We start from the raw sequence: 20,744 nt of genomic DNA, 5'->3' as shown, positions 1-20,744 counted from the left end.
ACTTTATAGGTAGAATTGATTGTTCATAGTTATTTTTGTCCTCACATTTAATGTAAACTTTAATTCTGGCTTTGATTGAGTCAACTATCAGCCTACCCTTCACTCATTGACAAATAATTTGCTTTTCAATTCTTGTAAGATTTTTTTCTTTGTCTTTGGTTCTGCAGTTTTATTATTGTAAGTCTAGCGAGAATTTCTTTTCCTTTATTTACCTTGAGAATTTTGAGGCTTTTTGAATATGTAGATTGATGTCTTTCATTTGTATAAGACAATGCTCAGATTTATTTTTTTCAAATATTTCCTCTACCTTAGTTTTTTTCTTCTTCTGTATATGTTTCTGTAAACTCAAATCTTAGCTTGAGTTTTTCAGAGCATGCCAATAGGGTGAATTAAGCTGCAGACCCATGTGAAGCTGGATTTTGTTTATAAATGTTATTAACTTAACTTTGCCTTTACTATAAAGATTGGACAATTGGGAGGCCACAGATTTTTAGGGGTTTTCTCTTAGACTCCTCATTAGTTTACTAATTCCATTTTTATATATTCCTCATCTATTATTATCCATTGAATTTTACATTTCAATTACATGTTTTATTTTCATAAATTGTCTCTGGTTCTTTTTCAAATCTGCTTGGCCATTTCCTTTAATAACATAGTAATTTTTATATTCATATTTTAATACCACTTTTATTTTAAAAATATATTAGATGTATTTATTTAATATTTTATTCTGATAAATCCATTTCTGCTATTCTATGCTTGTTTTCTCATTTGGTGTCTTCTTTGGCAGAGTAGGAGTAGGTTATGCAATTTGATCTTATCTTTTTCTAAATATTATTTGTGGGAAATACTCCAGTCCAAGATGAAGGTACGTGCTCAAGAGAGTTTCAGTTTGCCTCTGTATAGCATCTGTGTGTATTACCTACTTTGGAACAAATGTAAATTCAGTTTTTGGTGTAAGATTTTCAGAATAACAATTCATGTGAATTTAGGCTACAAACCCATGTGAAAACTAGCTTTTACTTATGAAAACTCAGGGTAATGTGTTTACCTTCACTTTTACTTATAAATATTGGACCTCTGGGGTCACAGCTTTTTAAGGATTTTCTCTTAGACTCCTTACCCTGGCAGGCCTTAGGCCTTTACAAGTCCTTTGTGTCTTGTTCTTTGAGTTCTGGAAGATCATGTTAGAAACATCGCAGGTTTACTTTGTGTAGTAAATCTTTCAGGATTAAACCTAGCCTCAATAATTAGCTTAATACTCTATTTCCCACTTTAATTTAGATTTTACTTTTAATATTCCTTATTTTCTTTTGAATTAATCAATTTAAGAAGATATCTGGCATTTTCAGAAGTTTTTCAGTGGGAAAGTGGGTGTTCCATATTTCCAGAAAGGAAAGTCTCAGTATTTGCTTTTCGACTGGCAAATATCAATATAAAACTTAGAAAAGAAAAAAAGTTACCATGGTTTTTTAGTAATTCCTTATAGCAAGGATGTTCTCAGCACAGGCATGCCAGGAGTTAGTGATTCCTGACTATGGAGAGTTGTGTGGGACAGAGACCAATGAGAGCTTCTCCCAGTGGAAAGGTTAGTTTTGGTGAGGGCCCCAGGGAGTTTCACTGTGCAATGTTTAAAGTGGCAGGAATAATGTTAGCATGTGTATCCCAGATAGGATTGCTGGATAAAATCAGGACATCCAGTTAAATTTGAATTTCAGATGAACAATAATTTTTTAAAACATATGTTCCCATATTCTCTTGCATCCAGTCATCTCTCATTACAAATATCCAAGTAGCATTGGATATGCTAGAATATATGATTTATGAACACTCCATTGTGACTTACTGAAAGTCTCAAAGAAATAGTCTTCAAATTTCAGTGTGCAATACGAATCACCTGGAAGATCTTGTCAAACTACAGAAGCTGATTCAGTAGGTCTGGGATGGAGTATGAGATTCTGCCTTCCTAACATGGATGAGATCTGCTGTGTCAACATGGAAACTGCTCAGCAAGTAAGAGAAATGTCAAGCAATAATCTCTGCTCAACAGGAAAGGACTTCTTGCTGCTCCCTCCTGGAGCCTTCAAGGCAGAATTAATTTTCTCAGGTTCTGAACTTTATTATTAAGTATGCACATAAATATCACTAATAAAATGTGACTGTGTGTTTTATAGACCCAATTCTTGCAGCAAATTCTCCAAAATACCACCTCACTATTTAAAATGCTAAGGTATTGGAACCCACTACTGTTCTCTTTACCACTTTGTATAGATATAAGTAGTTTAGGATATTTCACAGATAACCAAATAAATATCACTTTGCTATATATTAAATTCCCTGGAGCAAGTCAGTAGAAACTTCAAATGGAGGAGTTATTTCAGATAAACAAATTTCCATAAAGCCAAAGCTTTATATCCCAATATATTGGAGCCAGAACTGGATGAGTGTTAGGAAACCCTATATCTTCTATTGAAGGAAGTTTTATACCTGTTGAATTTTCACGTGAGCTGGATGTAACTTTAAATGCAGAAACTTTAGAGTAACAGGGATAGAATGATAGAGACATGCTATAATAATTTCCATATGTATTTACCTCCCTATCTGTTCTAACCTCTCACCAGTTTCAGACTGCATTTATGATATAAAAATGGATGGGAATGCCTGGAATATGCGGAGCAACTCTGTGGGGTTAGATTTTTCAACATTTTGTTAGAGGTTAGAAATGTTCTCTTCATCCTTGGGAAAACCTGTTCTCAGTTTTTCCATGAGATGAGTACATCATTCATTCAAACTTATGAAGAGTTAAAAATATCCATAATGATACAATATAACATGACTAAAGAGTGTGAGCTCTGCATTGTCTTTTCATCCTGTCTTTTTTGGTCTGTAGGTGAATTTTAAAATTTGCTTCTTTTCCCATTGTAGTTCAGTATTGGTCATTGTTTGCCATTATTGTGAAATTTTGTTTTATTTATTTTTTCCTAGAATTACTATAAAAATAAATACAAATAATGGTACTCTTTTTCCTAATTCATCAAGTGTCATTTCTTTTGTGTGTGAATGGGTATATTACATTAATGGTTTCTGTGGTATAATTCTGTAATTAATATTTATATATTAGCTACAGTATCTGTTCTTAGGAAAAAAGAATTACATAGTATAAAACTGAATGTTTTAAAGCATTCAAGTAAACCAAAAATATTTCCTCAAAAATGTGTTGAAAGGATGTAACAATCCAGCATGTGATTTTAATTAATGTCCAAGTAACTAAAAATGTATTTAGTTCATAAAGAAAACATATTGACATCTAATTATGGATCATAGAATTTGGTGCAGCAAAACTGTAGTGCATCTGTTCAGTGAAAACATAATCATGGAGAATACGAAATGGCACAATATATAATGAAAATTGAAATAATGCACAAATAAGACCATTAAAAAATCACAGTGTGAAACCAAATAGAGTTGGGTTTTAGCAAGAGAAGATTGGTAGTTCTAGATTCACTGGTAACAGAGATTGTCAAATTCATACAAAATGTACTCACTATGCTAATTTTAATGGTAGCACAGCAGAATATTCCCTCTTTTCTTTTGTAATGAAATTCAAAAATTTAAAGTAGAAGTGGGAAGTTGGCACCATTAGCCCACTTTAATATTTTCTGACTAATAACATAATATGTATAGTTTTAACTAAGGATTATCTTTTGATAAGTCATTTTTAAAAATTAATGATGCTGTAGACTAACAGATGCCAAGAATAGTAACATTATATATTGTATAAATGACATTATTTTTACAATATTACTGGCTCAACCTCCTTTCCTCTCTCTATTGATTTGGCTCATGCCCTCACTTCCTCTCACATAGGATTTCAGTATCATTGATAGCCCATCAACTGGTTTCCTTGATTCATAGTGGATCCCAGAGCTTCTGGTCTCTTTCTTTTTCAATCTCTTCTGTAATTTACAGAAGTGGTTCTCAGATTTGAGCTTGCATAGAGTACTTTTACCTGGATTACTTGATAAAGCATAGAACAGTGGACTTCCAGAGATTCTAATCCACTTATTCTGGGAAGAGGCCTGAGAATGTCCATTTCTAATGAGTTCCCAGGTGATGCTGATGCTGCAGGTTCCGGGACCACATTTTGAAAACTACTTCCTTGGAGCCTTATAAATTACCTTAAAGCCAGTCTTGCCCTAATACTCCCATTTCTACAATGCTTTGTTAGCTTGTAGTAGTCTTTAGAATCAAGCTAAACTTGGCAGGGTATTTAGCAATTGCTATCATGTTCCCCACCCACTCCAAGTCTGTCTTTTCTGCTCATCTTTAAGTTGTTTTCCCCTGGACCCTTAACACTATATCACATAGAGTAACCAATGCATTATTCTCCATATTGTTCACATATTCTCCATATTGTTCAAATATGGAGAATTCTCCACAATTTTCCATATTGTCCAAATGGTTTCCTACCTTCATCGCATTGTTACATTACTCCAATTAACCTAGAAAGCTCTTCTTTATCTCTATATTTCAGTCATACAAGTTTCAGCCCAAATATTTCATCCCCCATAAGCCATCCTTGGTTCTCTTTCATTTACTTAGGTCACAAGTAATGTGTCATTTCTCTGAAATGTTTCTGCATTTCATTTCTCTTACATTTAATTTCCACTTTCTCTACATTTTATTCTTTTTACTTAGATACATATCTAAATTCTTCCATTAGCTTGTAAGGTATTTCAGAGCACATTTTGGGTTTTATTATCTTTTCTAACACAATATCTTAGAGAGAGAAGTCATTAATATATATGTGTGGATTTCTGTTATTTATATAATAGTCATGAAAATGGCAATAATAAACGATATTATATGATAATAACAGCAACTAATATCTACTGGGTTCTTATTATGTGGCTAGGCATGTTTCTAGTTTCACTCATTATTTCATTTAACTTCTTCATTATCCTCATATTTTCATTCTTATTTTATAGGTGAATAAACTGAGGCACCAAGAAGTTAAGTGACTAGTCTATAGTCACCCAACTAATAAGTAGAGTAGCTGGGATATGATCTCCATTAATAAGCCTCAAGAATCAAATGTCCTGATTCCTTAGATAATGAAACTTCTAGTACCAAAAATGAAGATGCTTAAAACTTTGGTGCAAAATAGACAGATATGTCTACACTTATTCTGTAGTTTAAAAAACTCTCTAAACAATGATGACCACTGACTCATATTCAGTAGCAAAGTAGCTTCGAGTATTCTTCCGATTGTAATTCTTGGTCCATTCCACTTATATGGTCACTTATACACAGTCACATGAAATCTAAAGTACCCATTGTCTTGTTCCTATGAAGGCATGGTAAGGCATGTTTCTCTAAGAGTGGACTCTGGCCTCCTTGAATCAGTACTACCTTAGGTGTTTGGGAAAAATACAGTCTCAGAATTAACCCAAACAAATTAAATTTGCGTGTCTCCCCCAAGTATCCTGGTGGTTCTTATGTACACTTTTTTCAGTGTAGCTCTCTCTCAGGATCATCAAACTCATGAATATGACCTATCAACACCATTCTTTCACTACATGTGGGATGAAGCACGGGGAAGTCAATTCTAATTGGTGACAGCCATGAGTTAGGTTTCACATAGGATGCCTATGAAGGCAAAAAGTCCAAGGGGAGATTTGTTTGGATTACCAGGGATTCTTTTAAAATGATAGTAACTTGGAGAGTTAGTATAGGTTATTTTAATCAAGTACTCAAGTCCCTTTCCTTTTAACACACATAGAACTAGGCTGTTCTAACATTTCTCAGTCTGAGATAATATACCACCACCTTTTAAAGGAAAACCAAACACCTCTTTGATCTTCATAGTTGACTCAGATTATATTTAATATAAAGTTTCTTAAATATTGTACAAACATAACACAATGTTTACATTTTATATAGCTATAAAATTAAACCTAACGTTTAATTTCAAACAAAACTATAGAAACATAAAATTCAAGTGAGAAACATTTAAAATCAGGCAGAATTTTTATTGAAACTATATTTCTCCTATTATATTTAAAAGTGACAAATGTACCTCTTTGTTTACTGTGTCACTTGCTATCAACTTAATTTTTATGCTTTTGAGAGCATAAGGGGCTATAATTTAATTCATCAGCATTATAACTATTTCTCCTTTTTAACAGTTTTTTAAAACTACTGTTCTATTATTTTCATGGGCCAATTTAAGAATATGTACGCAATATAAAATATAGTAATACAATTGATCAAGAACTAAATAAGAAATTCTCCAGAATATATTTGTCCTTATGTGCACTGATAATGAACTATCTTAAGATAGTCTGTAGTCAATGAGCACTTCAAAGACTGGCCTTTTCTCTCTGTCAGGGAAGTTTTTCTCTGGTCAGTATGTTTCTGCAATTGCAAGCTTTTTGATAACTCAATGTCATTCAGAATGCATGCTGGGCATCATTTGACCTTCAGTCACTTAAAATGCATTCAAATGTAACTTAAGTACCTAGTCACAGGTAGTCATGTAGGTGGGATGGAATATGCAAATATCAACTTTCCAAAATTCTTTTAGAAAAGACAACATAACACTAAAACAAAACAAAACTTCCAGAGCTCCGAAACCAAAATGAGTAGACCTTTGCTCTTGGGGTCTTTAGAAACCTGAAATCATTCATTGGAGCACTGGTTTGGATTGGGAGTAGAGTAAATGAGGAAATTAATATAGAAGAAGACAAACTTTGGATCATGGGCACCTCAGGGGGGTAGGAGATTTAGATATTAAAAAAAAAAGAGAGGGCTTAAAGAAGGAAAGAATCCTGTAAGGAGAACATTGGAAAAGTAAAAAGTAAACCACTGGCAATCTTCTCTATTATTTTGTGTCCTCTCTTGGCACTTTCCTTGCAGGCCACTTAAAATCCCACAGTCAGGCAACTCTATGCCATACAATAGAGGACTTCTGATACAAGTAAATTGAACAAAGCAGCTTAATATACTCAGGTTGATTTTTTGGAGTCTCCATGCTGCTATAGCATATAGTGACAGGCTTGCATATATCACATGTGTCATTCTATCATTAATATATATGTGTGGATTTCTGTTATGTAATGTAACTTAAGTACCTGGTCACAGGTAGTCATGTAGGTGGGATCGAATATGCAAATATCACCCTGGATTTCTAATTGCTTAAGGTCTTTTGAATATCTTCATTCACTATATCAAATCGATAACACTTCCAGGAATAAAGCAACAAAGTTGGCTTTCCTGGCTTCAGAAAGAAAATTTTATCTTAAACATCCTTTATGGATACAAATCTGAATTAGTTCTGAAGAGTCCCATATTGAAAGAGTTTAAAACTATTTTTCTCCTGAAACTTATTTTATTGTATAATAACTCACTTTGTGCAGACATCCTTCCTCAGATCTAATCTAAACCCTCTGTACTGCATTTTATTCTTTTCCCTTTGTTCTGGCTCAGCAATCAGAAGAACAGATGGCCATCTTCTGTCAGTACTTGAAGACTGTTTCTAAGAAACATTAAGCCTCCATCAGGCTCACTTGTTAATGCAAAAGTCCCACTCAGGACAGAAGCTGGGACAATCTTTGAAGTTGTCAGGTAAGTCTTAAAGCCCTAGTTTTACTTTTCCTTATTTTCAGTCACTTAATATCTTCAGTTTTTCTGCTTTTCTCATCCATAGCTTATCAAACAACCTTCAGATGTATAACTGTTAACCTTATCCACATTAAAGTGTAAATGATTGCTACAGTGTAAAATGTAAGCTTTTGAAAAGGATGCCTAAATTTTAACAAAGAGCATTTTTTCTTACATTTATGTTTTAATTGCAGGGTTACTATATAAATTAGATAAAGGAAGGTAAAAGACTACTGTCAATATCACCAAAATCATTTTGTGTAGGTGATCAGATAAAATGCTCCATATTTTTACAGTAGCTCCCCTCAGCTGTGATTTGTTCAGCAAGTATTTGTTGAACATCTAGCATCTGGGACCTGGGAATCTAGCAGTGAATTAGACAATGTCTTAGCGAAGTAGCAAAGTAATATCCTTTTGGGTGTAGAAACCCAATAGCGAACCAACAAGAATAAGAAAATACTGGGTGTGAAAAATGCAGAGAACTAGTATAGGGTGGGGTGATAAAAGAGTGACTGCCTGGCTACTTTAGATTTGGGATTCAGGAAAGGCTCTTCCCGGGTAAGCTGACATCTGAGTTGGAATCTAAATAAGAAGGCAGAGTCAGTCCTACTCAATGAGGGAGAACGGTGCTCCAAGGAGAGGGAAATATACCACAGTGTTGTTTTAACCATAGTACACTCATACCTCATTTTATTGCAGTGCAGTCAAACCTTATTTCATTGTACTTTGCTGTATCAAGCTTTGCAGATAGTGTTATTTTTACAAGTTGAAGGTTTGTGGCAATCTCACATTAAGCAAGTCTGTAGTATCATGTTTCTGATAGCATGTACTCGCTTTTGTCTCTGTGTCACATTTTGGTAATTCTTACAGTATTTCAAAGTTCTTCATTATTATTGTACGATCATTACTTTCATATGTTATGTTGTTATGGTAATCTACCATCAGTGATCTCTAATGGTACTATTGTCATTGTTTTGGGGTGCCATGAACTGCAGTCATAGAAGACAGTGAACTTAATCAATAAATGTTTGTGTTCTGACGGCTCCACTGACCATTCTGCAGTCTTCCTCTCTTTCCTTGGGCCTCCCTCTTCCCTGGGACAAAAATATTGACATTAGGCCAGTTAGAAGCCATACAATAGCTTCTAAGTGTTCAAGTGGAAGGAACAGTTCCATGTTTCTTACTTTAAATCAAAAGCTAGGAATGATTAAGCTCAATGAGGAAGACATATTGAAAGCTGAAATAGGCTGAAAGTTAGGCCTCCTGCACCCACCACACAGTTAGCCAAGTTGTGAACACAAAAGGAAAAATTTTGAAGAAAATTAAAAGTGCTACTCCAGCATGCACACAAATGATAAGAAAGTGAAACAGTCTTATGGCTGATACAGAGAAAGATTTAGTGGTCTGGATAGAAGATAAAATCAGCCACAATATTCCCTCAAGCCAAAGCCTAATCCAGAGCAAGGCTCTCACCCTCTTCAATTTTCCAAAGGTGGAGAGAGGTGAGAAAGCTGCAGAAGAAAAGTTGGAAGCTAGCAGAGGTTGGTTAAGGTTTAAGGAAAGAAGCTGTTTCCATAACGTTAAAATGCAAGGTGAAGCAGCAAATTATCTGGAAGATCTAGCTAAGATCATAGATAAGGGTGACTACACTATGCAACAGATTTTTCCATGTAGATGAAACAGTCTTATATTGCAAGAACATACCATCTAGGGCTTTTATAGCTAGAGAGAAGAAGTCAGTGCCTGGCTCCAAAGCTTCAAAGAACAGCCTAACTCTCTTGTTAGGGGATAATGTAGCCAGTGACTTTAAGTTGAAGTCAGTGTTCATTTACCATTCTTAAATTTCTAGGGCCTTTAAGAATTATGCTATCTACTCTGCCTATGCTCTATAAATGGAAAAACGAAGGCTGACTGACAGCACACCTGTCTATAGCATGGTTTATTGAATATTTTAAGCTGACTGTTGAGACCTACTGCTCAGAAAAAAAATTCTTTCAAAATATTACTGCTCATTGACAATGCACCTGTTCACCCAGAAGCTCAGATAAAGATAGAGGTACAACTAAATGAGTGTTGTTTTCATACTTGCTAACACAACATCCATTCTGCAGCCCATGGATCAAGGAGTAATTTCAACTTTCAAGATTATTATTTAAAAAATACATTTCATAAGGCCATAGCTGCCAGAGACATTGATTCCTATGATGAATCTGGGAAAAGTGAGTCAAAAAAATTCTGGAAATGATTCACCATTATAGATGTCATTAAGCACATTTGCAGTTTAGCAGAGGAAATCAAAATATCAAGATGAACAGGAGTTTGGGAAGAAGTTGATTCCAAGTCTCACGGATGACTTTAAGGGGTTCACGACTTCAGAAGAGGAATTAACTGCAGATATGGTGGAAATAGAGAATTAGAATTAGTGGAACCTGAAGATGTGACTGAATTGCTGCAATCTCATGATAAAACTTGAAAAGATGATGAATTGCTTTTTATGTATAAGCAAAGAAAATTGTTTCTTGTTATGTAATCTACTCCTGGTGAAGATACTGTGAATACTTTTGAAATGACAACAATGGATTTAGAACACTACATAAACATAGTTGATAAAGCAGTGGCAGGGTTTGAGAGGATTGACTCCAATGTTGAAAGAAGTTCTGTGAGTAGTAAAATGCTATCAAACAGCACTGCATACTACGCAAAATCTTTTGGGAAAGAAAGAGTCCATAGATGGTGTAAACTTTATCGTAGTCTTACTTTAAGAAATTGCCACAGCAACCACTGCCTTAGGTAACTGACATTCTGATCAGTTATCAGCCATAAATGCCTAGGGAAGACCCTCCATCAGTAAAAAATTACAGCTTGCTAAAGGCTCAGATGATTATTAGCATTTTTTAGCAAAAAAGTATTTTTAAGATATGTATTTTTAAAACATAATTCTGTTGCACACTTAAAATTAAAAAACTACTTTATAGTTTAAATGTAACTTTTCTGTGCATGGGAAAACCAAATAACATGTGTGACTCGCTTTATTGCTATATTTGCTTTATTGCTGTGGTCTGGAATAAACTGCGCAATATTCTCAAGGTATGCCTATAATATGTTGCTTCCCAATGGTTCATTTGTCTATGAAGACCTATAGATATTTATACTATTATCCAATACAAACATTTTTTATTTTTACATCTTTAGTATCCTATGTGGTTTTCCTCATTAAGAACAAGAATCAGCAATGCACAGTGGCTCACTTCTGTAGTACCAGCACTTTGAGAGGCTGAGGCGTGAGGATCACTTGAGCCCAGGAGTTCAAGACCAGCCTAGGCAACATATAAAGAACCAATCTCTAAAAAAATTTTTTTTTTAATTAACCAGGTGTGGTGGCATTTGCCTGTGATTCCAGCTACTCAGGAGGCTAAGGCTGGAAGATCTCTGAGTCAAGGAAGTCAAAGCTTTAGTGAGCACTGATTTCGACACTGTATTCTAGCCTGGGTGACAGAGAGAGACCCCATTTAAAGCAAAACAAAAAACAAACAAAACAATAATAATAATAATAAAAGACTAAGAACCAACAGTCATTCACTATCATATATTTTTTACATTTCACATTTTATTTAAAAACTGTCATGCTATATTCTCACCTTCAATGAACACCACTATTCTGTATTTGGTATCTTTATCAAACTTAATTTATAAGTATCTTTTGGATTTTTCCAGGTTTTTGATGAAAATAGAAGTCTAAATTTGGACTTTACTATTATGATGAAGTTCTTGAGGAGTATGGTAGGAGGGAGTAAAAAGAGGAATTTTTTTTTTTCAGTTGTGAAAATTTAACATATCTCTTTTTTAGGCTATATGTTATAAGAATTTGTATAGGTTATAGTTGAGAGGGATGAAGCTTGAAATAGCACTGAGGTAATTTTTTAAATCATCACTTGTATCAACAAAATCCTTGTATAGAACAAATCTGTTTAAGTTTTGGACACCTAGAGTCGGTACATGCTACTTACTGATTGGCCAATATTCTGTGGTCCCATATCAGCTACTTTCAACTTTCTGTAAAGATAAAGAAGAAAGAATTGTTTTCACTGATTAGGAGAATGCAAATCTTTAAAGACGAATGGATGGTGATTTAATACTTTGTGTATCAGTGTTACCTTTTTATGTTTATTAATTAAAATGCTGATAAGAGAAGAATTAAGAAAAAAAGAGAAATTGTATGTTCCTCTTCCTCACAAACATGCTCTTAACATTGGCCCACTGATGATGCAATATTCTTGTGAAAGTAGCCTCTACATTCAACACATTGTATTTATTCATACTTTACTCATTCACTATGACAAATTTACCAATAGGAATGAGACCATCAGTGAGCCTACTGTAGAAATATACATACTTTGATACTTAATGCGCATGCTTTTTTGTTGAGGTGAAAGATGAATTTTGTTGAGCTAACTAAAGAATTTCTGAATGAAGGTGGAAAATGCGTATTCCCCAAATAAGCAAGAGGTATTTGTGGCTAAAGCCATTATAGGGTCCTACATTCTGAAGAGAGACATTATTTTATATTCACTTCAGAGAAACATTATTTATCTCTGTTGGCCAACATACTTTGAAACAACTATTTGGTTTTAATGGATATATATCTTGCCACTGTGCCATCAGTAATTTGAACAGCTTGAAATACTGTATGTCATCTTACATTGCTTTCCCTTTGTAGCAAACACAATCACTGGATTGTTTTTCATTGATTTAAAAACATTGACTTGCTGAAGTATGAGCCTGTGTGCAGTCATAATTCTTGTTCTTTCTTCCTCAGCAAAGCCTGTGATAATTCTTTGAGTTTTAAGCAGGTGTCATGCATCAGATCCAAGTGCTTAATAAATGCACCAGAAGTATATTTTCCTTAAGGCCTTGTGTTTACCCATTTTCATTTATCTTGTGAAATATTTCAAATGTTTTTCTAAAATCCTGGGAAAGAGCAGGTTAGCATTTCCACTTGGCAAGCAGAATTATAAGCATGAGGCTCCCCTGTCTATTGTGACCTTAACCAACATCAGTGATTCCCAGCCTGTGTGCCAAGGGCCCTTGAGGAGTGATGAAAGTTATTGGATAGGGCCCATCAATCCATATGTACAGTAAGCATTTTCTTTGGTAATCTGAATAAATATATCTAACATAAAATGTACTATGTTTTTTCTAAGCACATATAAATTCTATCAATAAAATACAGCTACATTCATAAGTGGTCCTGAATTCATGGTGGCTTTTTCATATTATATTTTCTCAGTTAATGGATAGTCCAACTGGGTTACTTGCATTTTTTTTTCATTGTAATTGACAGTGCTCAGTGCATTAAGTTTTAAGAAAAGATGATGTTATTGACCACAGGTATTGTATTTAAACCAAATTGAAATAATTTTTGTCATACTAATATTGTGAGCTGGCTACTAGCAATTTCATATTCATTTTATCAATAGTATACTAATACATTAATCATAATATAACTAACATAACCATAATAGGTATTGTATTGAGTGCAGGCAGTCATTTCGTTTTTACACCAACCCTGTAAAATTATTATTATTATGATTCCCATTTCACTAAGAGGAAATCAAGACATGGAGACTTCAAGAATATTGCCTTAGCATCCACAGTTAACTAGTAAATAATGTGAACTTTAAATCCTAGTTTAGCCATCTGACTCCAAACATCTTGTTCTGTTGATTCCATCACATTGCAGAGCAATATGTCATGTAAGACATACATATCGATGCTGTGCTTAATTCTGGAAGGCAATGATTTGTGCAAGAGATATGATGGGACCTTCCTTAATTTATATTGAATCTAATCAGTAATCATTTTTTAAAAACATTTATTCGATGAAGATTTGTTTGTGAAATCCTTAAAAACATGAACACTATTCAAACTGGGCAATTACAGCTACTACCCTTTATTACTAAACCAGCAACCGCCTACTAGACATGTCCAATTTTGACCTACTGTTTCAAATATCAAGAAAAACCAAGACATCCGGGCCCGGTGGCTCATGCCTGTAATCCCAGCACTTTGGGAGGCCGAGGCGGGCGGATCACGAGGTCAGGAGATCGAGACCATCCTGGCTAACATGGTGAAACCCCGTCTCTACTGAAAATACAAAAAAGTAGCCGGGCTTGGTGGCGGGAGCCTGTAGTCCCAGCTACTCCGGAGGCTGAGGCAGGAGAATAGCGTGAACCCGGGAGGCGGAGCTTGCAGTGAGCTGAGATCCCGCCACTGCACTCCAGCCTAGCTCCAGCCTGGGCTACAGAGTGAGACTCCGTCTAAAAATAAATAAATAAGTAAATAATTAAAAATAAAAAATAAAAAGGCCAAGACAATAATGGAGAGAACTAAGCAATGAGATGGAAATTTAAAGGAGTATGGAAGAAAAGGAGGAAAGAGCTACATGCAGTTCATCGTCTTTAAAAGCTAAAAGATCTAGGGCATTATCAGTTAGTCTCTGGAGGTTTCCAGCTCATTTTTTTCATTCCTAATTCCTCTGGTAAACTAGGTGCTAGCCTCACTTACCCCCTCTCTTCTGCATCCTTCTTCTCATTATTCTCCCTTCCACTGTGGAAAGAAACTCCTACTGTTTGTTTACAATCCAGAGTTTTAAAGAGGCTGAACTAAAATTGGCTGCTTCTGGGACATCCCTGCCAATGGATGGGATCCAAATTGGCTCTGCCATGAAGAGGCAGCTATGCCCACATAAGGATATTTTGGCTTCGTGCTTCTGTCGTCTCAATGCCAGGCAGACAATCATCCAGGAGTGGGAAAATACAGCCGGGGCAAATGTTTATAGCTAGAGTGGTCAGCTGGTTGGAACACCAGTCTGAAGGACAGGCTATCTGGATGTCGTGTTTAGCTCCTCATGGGAAGAGCTTAATAATGTTGGACAAATCACTTAGTCTCTTGACTCCCAATTCGATGGACAAGGACCACAGTACATATACCTCCTGGCTACCCAGGGGTATTTTTATAAGTGCTCAGTTTATTTCTTCCAGTTTTGAGTACATTGAAGGTAACTTTCTTTTCTGAAATGAGACCAGAGAAATAACTCTGTCTCTGTAGCTTTGCTAGTGATATAGTCAAGTTCAGAAGAAAGAACAGTTCTCCCAGCTCTAGAAGAAAGACTTCCCTTTAGATATTTCTCATGGGCTAACACATTACCTGAAGATGGGAAGACAGGGTGTGTGTACAAAAATCACATGTAGAAAGCATATGTGTAAAACATAGACATATATACAGTATTTATGTAAAGATGTCTTTATCTAGACATTTCAGCATAGCTCCTAGTTAAGCCACAACTTTTATAACAGGAAAGCAAATCAGATTTGACTGCATTGGCTGTTTAAGTGAAGGAGCCACACAGATGGGCAAGAAGCACAGACAAATTGCTTTTGGCTCTGCTTTCCTTTATAACAACATCAGATATTTTTAGTTTCTTTTTCTTTATGCGTTGTGCATGTTTCTGCCTCATATAGAAAGTCATTGCACATTGTCTTCATCAGTTTTGCCACCCTCTACTAGTAGGCAAAATTTAGCATTTCATTTACCTTTTACATTTCTGAGATCTGAAGTTATTATAGGAAAATTCCATTGTCCAGACGTAGATGGTGGCCAAGAAATAGGTTAATGCCATGGAAATAGTTCTTATTAGGAGAAAAGGAAAACTTACATTTTGGACCTCATGGTGGAGGAATATTTCTGGTTATCGCAAGATAGATTTCCACACTGGTTGGAATTATACAAACTTCAGTTTCAAGAATTAGAAAAAATGTTTTCTATGACAGACCCTGCATTAATGTGATGAACTGAGAGGTTCATTAAAATAATTATGTAGGCCAGGCGTGGTGGCTCACACCCATAATCCCAGCACTTTGGGAGGCCAAGGTGGGTGGATCACCTGCGGTTAGGAGTTCAAGACCAGCCTGACCAAAATGGTGAAACACCGTCTCTACTAAAAATACACAAAATTAGTCAGGTGTGGTGGCACGTGCCTGTAATCCCAGCTACTCGGGAGGCTCAGGCAGGAGAATCACTTGAACCCAGGAGGTGGAGGTTGCAGTGGGCCAAGATTGCGCCATTGCACTCCAGCTTGGGTAACGAGCAAAACTCCATCTCAAAAAAAAAAAAAACAAACAACAATTATGTAAAGCCCTCATAAACCTTTTAAAAGTTGTCCACTTTATTCTCATGATCTTTTATTTCCAAGTAAGTGGCAGTAGTTGCTATTTTCATATCCAGGTTCCTCGTGATATTATGATGTCAGATTAGAAAGAGATGAGTATTCTACAGATTCCATTCAGTATTCCAGCAGGCTCTCTCATAATTACTATTATCCTCCATAACCAGTTTATGAGTAAGAAATTAAAAACATGTGACTCAAACAGTACAGCAACTGCTTCAAAAGCTAATTACAGAGCTACCATATAAACAACCAAGTAATTTCACTTCTAGGTATCTAACTAAAACTTGTGTTCATATAAAGATTTGTCAACCAATGTTTATGGCAGCATTATGCATAACAGTTCAAAATTGGAAACAACACAAATGTCCATCAACTGGTAAATGAATAAAGAGAATGTGGTACATCCATACAAAGGAATACAATTCAGCAATAAAAGCCATGAATCATGTGTACAGGAAACAACAGAGTAACCTCAAAAACATTATGCCAAGTGAAAGAAGCCAGACACTAAGACTATGTATTGTATGTTTAAATTTATATGACACTTCTAGAAAAGGTAAATCTATGAAGAAAAAATACAGATCACTGGTTGCCCGGGGGTGATTAACAGAGTAGAAATCAACTACAAAGAACATGAGGCAACTTTTTAGGGTGATGAAAACGTTTTAAATTTGGGGGTGTTGGTTGCACAATTATATATGTATTTATTAAATATCATTAAGCTGATACTCATAAGAGGTGAATTTTATGCTATGTAAACTAATCTTAGTAAGACTATAATTCTGAATGCTTATCCATTTCTAACATCTATGTCCAATTTCTATAGCTCTGTATTCCAATTTTGCATGCTGTGTAAGTCCAGGGAAATTGAGATGTGCATGTGTGACATTTACCCTCCTCTGTAATGTTCCAGCTCAGATAGAATTTTTCTGTTTCTTGAATATGCAAAAGTTACACTCTGCTCCAGGAGATTTTGCTACACATGCTGCAACCTCTCCCTAGAATGTTCTTTCCCACCAAGCTTCTCAAGGTTGCTTTTATTTCAAGTTTTTGCTAATGCCACTTTCTTAGAGAGGTCTTCCCTGGCTTTGTAAAGGTGATCCCTAGCCCCCATAATATCTTTGATCTTTTTTGAATTTCTTTCATAGCATTTAGCTTAATTTTGAGTTAGTTTCATTTATGTGTGTGCCTGTGCATTTATATGTCTATATTTAGTCTTTTCTCTAATAAAATATAAGCCCTGTAAGTGGAGTATATGTATCTGAGTGCCTGCTACAATGTGGATATTTAATATTTTGTGACAAATGAATGAATAAATGAAAAAGAATATTCCCTGTATTAAGCGATGATAAGTTACAAAAATCCTGAATATTTTAAGTAGGTCCGCATTTCCAGTTTTCTTCAAGAATTTCTAGTCATTAATAGACTTGTCTCATCAGTCCATACTAGTATCCTGGGAATGTTCTGAAATGTACTTGATATTCTGAGGGTCTTTGACATCGGTGTATGTCTTGACTGGGAGAGTATTCTAAGATCTATGAGGGTCACCCTAACTTTCCCAGGTCTATCTCCTAAAATCTTACAAGATTGTAGGAGGCATAAAGGCTCCAGATTTATTTAGTGATCTGTAATTACCAGTGACTAAATGTTGTTTTTTGACACCTTATTTGGCACCTCACCTTAAAAAACCTATTTTTACAATTGAATCAGACCTTACATTGCATAAACCATAATACAGAATTAATATACAGTTAAATATGTCCTAAATACTGAGGTTTCCCAAAAACCGAATTTTCCTCTCAGGAAGTAGCTTACACTCTAGAAAAATCTCACTAATTACATAATCTGACAAAATAATATAATATAGTTTTAATAGCTACAGTTAATACATTAAACATATGGTAATAATTTCTTCAATGATTACTAATTTTTACATTTCTCACTACCAATTATGGTATTAAATTGTTCACTTCTTAATTTGTTCTGTCCTAAGTTTTTATTTATTCCAGACTGAATGGTGATAGAGTTGAGACTTTTGTACTTCTCCCATTAGCTTAACATCATTGATATAATCATGCTGTATTGTCATGGTGTATAATCATATTATTCTTGGTGACTTAATTTTCCTGTGAAGATCACCTCAATTTAGCCATTCCAGATGTGAAATAGTTTCAAAGGGTATTTAACAAATCTTACCAACACTGTCTTAAATAATTTCAACACCATTTTGGTAACTGCTGGTTATAATTGCCAACCCTCCTGGGCTTCTTGTTTGCTCCAAGATAAATTCACTAATAGATATTGCATGGACAAACTGGGCAGTTGGCAAGCAAAGAGTCACAAGACTCCCAGGAAGTACTTTTTGTACCGAAATGAATGGAATGAGTAACTGGTTGGTACTTTAAGGTGTGTGTTTGTGTATCAGTTGTCTGTGTCTCTGTGTAAAGTGAAGCAGGATTTGTGGGGAGTGTGGAAGTAGAAATATTAATACCATAAACATTCATTTCCAGGGACTTTAAAAATTCTATGTATTTAAAAATTGTATATATTTAACTTGATGATTTGATGTGCATATATATACATTGTGAAATAATCACCACAATCAATCTAATTAACTTACTCATTATTTAACATAGTTGTTTATTTATTTTGGGGATGATAACGCTTAGGACGTACCTTGTTAGCAAATTTTCAGTATGCAATACAGTATTGTTACCTTTAGTCACCATGCCGTACATTAGATCTCAAGAGCTGATTGATTTTGCATAACTGAAACTTTGTACACTTTGATCAACATCTCCCCATATCCTCTTTCCTCAGCCTCTGGTTACCACCATTCTACTCTCTGCTGTTATCAGTTTGACTATTTTAGATTCCACTTATAAGTGAGATTAAATAGTATTTGCTTTTCTGTGTCTGTCTTATTTCACTTGACATAATTTCGATCAGGTCCATCCGCGTTGTTATATGTGATAGAATTTCCTTCTTTGTTAAGGATGAATAATATTTTGTATATGTGTGAGTGTGTGTTGAGGGGGAGAGAGACAGAGAAAGAAAGAGTGTGTGTGTGTGTACTACCATTTCTATATTTATTCTTCTGTCTATGAGCATTTAGGTTATTTTCATATCTTGGCTATTGTGAAAAATGCTACAGTGAACATAGGAGTACAGGTATGTCTTTAAGATCCTGACTTTAATTTGTTAGGATAAATACCTGGAAGTAGGACTGCTGGGTCATATGATAGTTCTATTTATAATTTTTTGAGGAACCTTCACGCTATTTTCCATAATGTCTGTACCAATTTACAATCCCCTCAAACAGTGTACCAGGGTTCCCTTTTCTCTACATCCTTGCTAAAACTTGTTATCTTTTATCTCTGTAACAGAAGCCATTCTAACAGGTGTGAGGTAATATCTCATTGTGGTTTTAATATGCATTTCTCTGCTGATTAGTGATGTTGAGCATTTTTTATATACTTGAATGTTTGTATGTCTTATTTGGAAAAAATGTCTATTTAGGTCCCTTGCTCATTTTTTTAACTGGATTGTTTTTTCTTTTTCTGTTGGACTCTATGAGTTCCTTATATATTTTAGATATTAACTCCTAATCAGATAAATGGTTCACAAATATTTCCTCCCATTTCATAGGTTGACTTTTTATTTTGTTGATTGCTTCCTTACCTGTGTAGAAGCTTTTTAGTGTAATGTAATCCCATTTGTTTATTTTTGCTTTTGTGTGCTTTTAGTGTCATATTCAACAAATTGTTTGTAAGACCAATGCCAAGCAGTTTCTCCCCTATGTTTTCTTTTAGGAGTTTTATAGTTTTTGAGCTTATTTCTAAGTCCTTAATTCAAGTTGATTTTTGTATATGGTGTAATATGAAGGTGAAATTACATTTTTTTGACCTATGGATATCCAGTTTTCCCAATAATATTTATTGAAACAATTATCTTTTCTCCATTGTGTATTTTTGGCACCTTTGTTGAAGATTAGCTGATCATGTATGCGTTGGTTTATTTCTTCACTCTCTATTCTATGGGTCTACTAGTCTATGAAGTCTGTCTGACTGGTGTCATGCCAGTACCACAATGTTTTTATTACTGTAGCTTTGTAATATATTTTAAAATCAGGAAATGTGATGCCTGCATATACTTGTTCTTCTATCTCAAGATTGCTTAGGCTATCCATGGTATTTTGTGATTCCATATAAATTTTAGGATTGCTTTTTCTATTTCTGCAGAAAATGCCATTGAATTTTGATAGAGATTGCATTGAATCTGTAGGTTGTTTTGGGTAGTATAAACATTTTAATAACACTAATACTTCTGATCTGTAAATATGTGATATCTTTCCATTTTCTTATCCTTTCATAATTGAGTAGGATGCTGGCTATGGGCTTGTCATGTGTGACCTTTTTTATGTTGAGGTGCATACTTTCTATATCATGAAAGGATGTTGAACTTTGTCAAGTGCTTTTTCTGCGTCTATTGAGATGATCATGTAAGTTTTATTCTTTATTTTGTTAATGTCATATATTACATTTATGGATTTGTGTATGTTCAACCATCATTGCATCCCATGGATAATTCCCCACTTGATCATGGTATATACTGTTGAATTTGGTCTGTTAGCATTTTATTGAGGATTTTTGCTTCTGTGTTCATTGGGGATATTGGCCTATACTTTTCTTGTTGAGTCCTTGTCTGTTTTTGGTATCAGGGTAATGCTGGCAGCCTCATAAAATGGGCTTGCAGGTATTCCCTCCTATTTATTTTCTTGTAAGAGTTTGAGAAGAATTTGAATTAATTCTTTTTAAAATGTTTTATAGAATTCACCCATGAAGCCATCTGGTGC

General features: G+C 34.8%; 1 long non-coding RNA gene across 3 annotated transcripts in view; it reads right to left on the bottom strand.

The window, feature by feature from the left end:
• Window positions 1-14,286, bottom strand: part of LOC102724637 (uncharacterized) — a 71,709-nt gene extending 57,423 nt beyond the window's left edge. For all 3 annotated transcript variants that reach the window (NR_188242.1, NR_188243.1, NR_188244.1), the window contains exons 1-2: window positions 14,227-14,286; window positions 11,670-11,715 (exon numbers count right to left, since the gene is read on the bottom strand). This is a non-coding gene — a long non-coding RNA (uncharacterized LOC102724637). The remainder of the gene's footprint in view (window positions 1-11,669; window positions 11,716-14,226) is intronic.
• Window positions 14,287-20,744: the final 6,458 nt, after the last annotated feature.

Source organism: Homo sapiens, chromosome 5 (assembly GCF_000001405.40).
Source record: "Homo sapiens chromosome 5, GRCh38.p14 Primary Assembly".
NCBI lineage: Eukaryota > Metazoa > Chordata > Mammalia > Primates > Hominidae > Homo > Homo sapiens.
The sequence above is the reverse complement of the archived record's forward strand: the minus strand, read 5'-3'. Positions and strand labels throughout refer to the sequence as shown.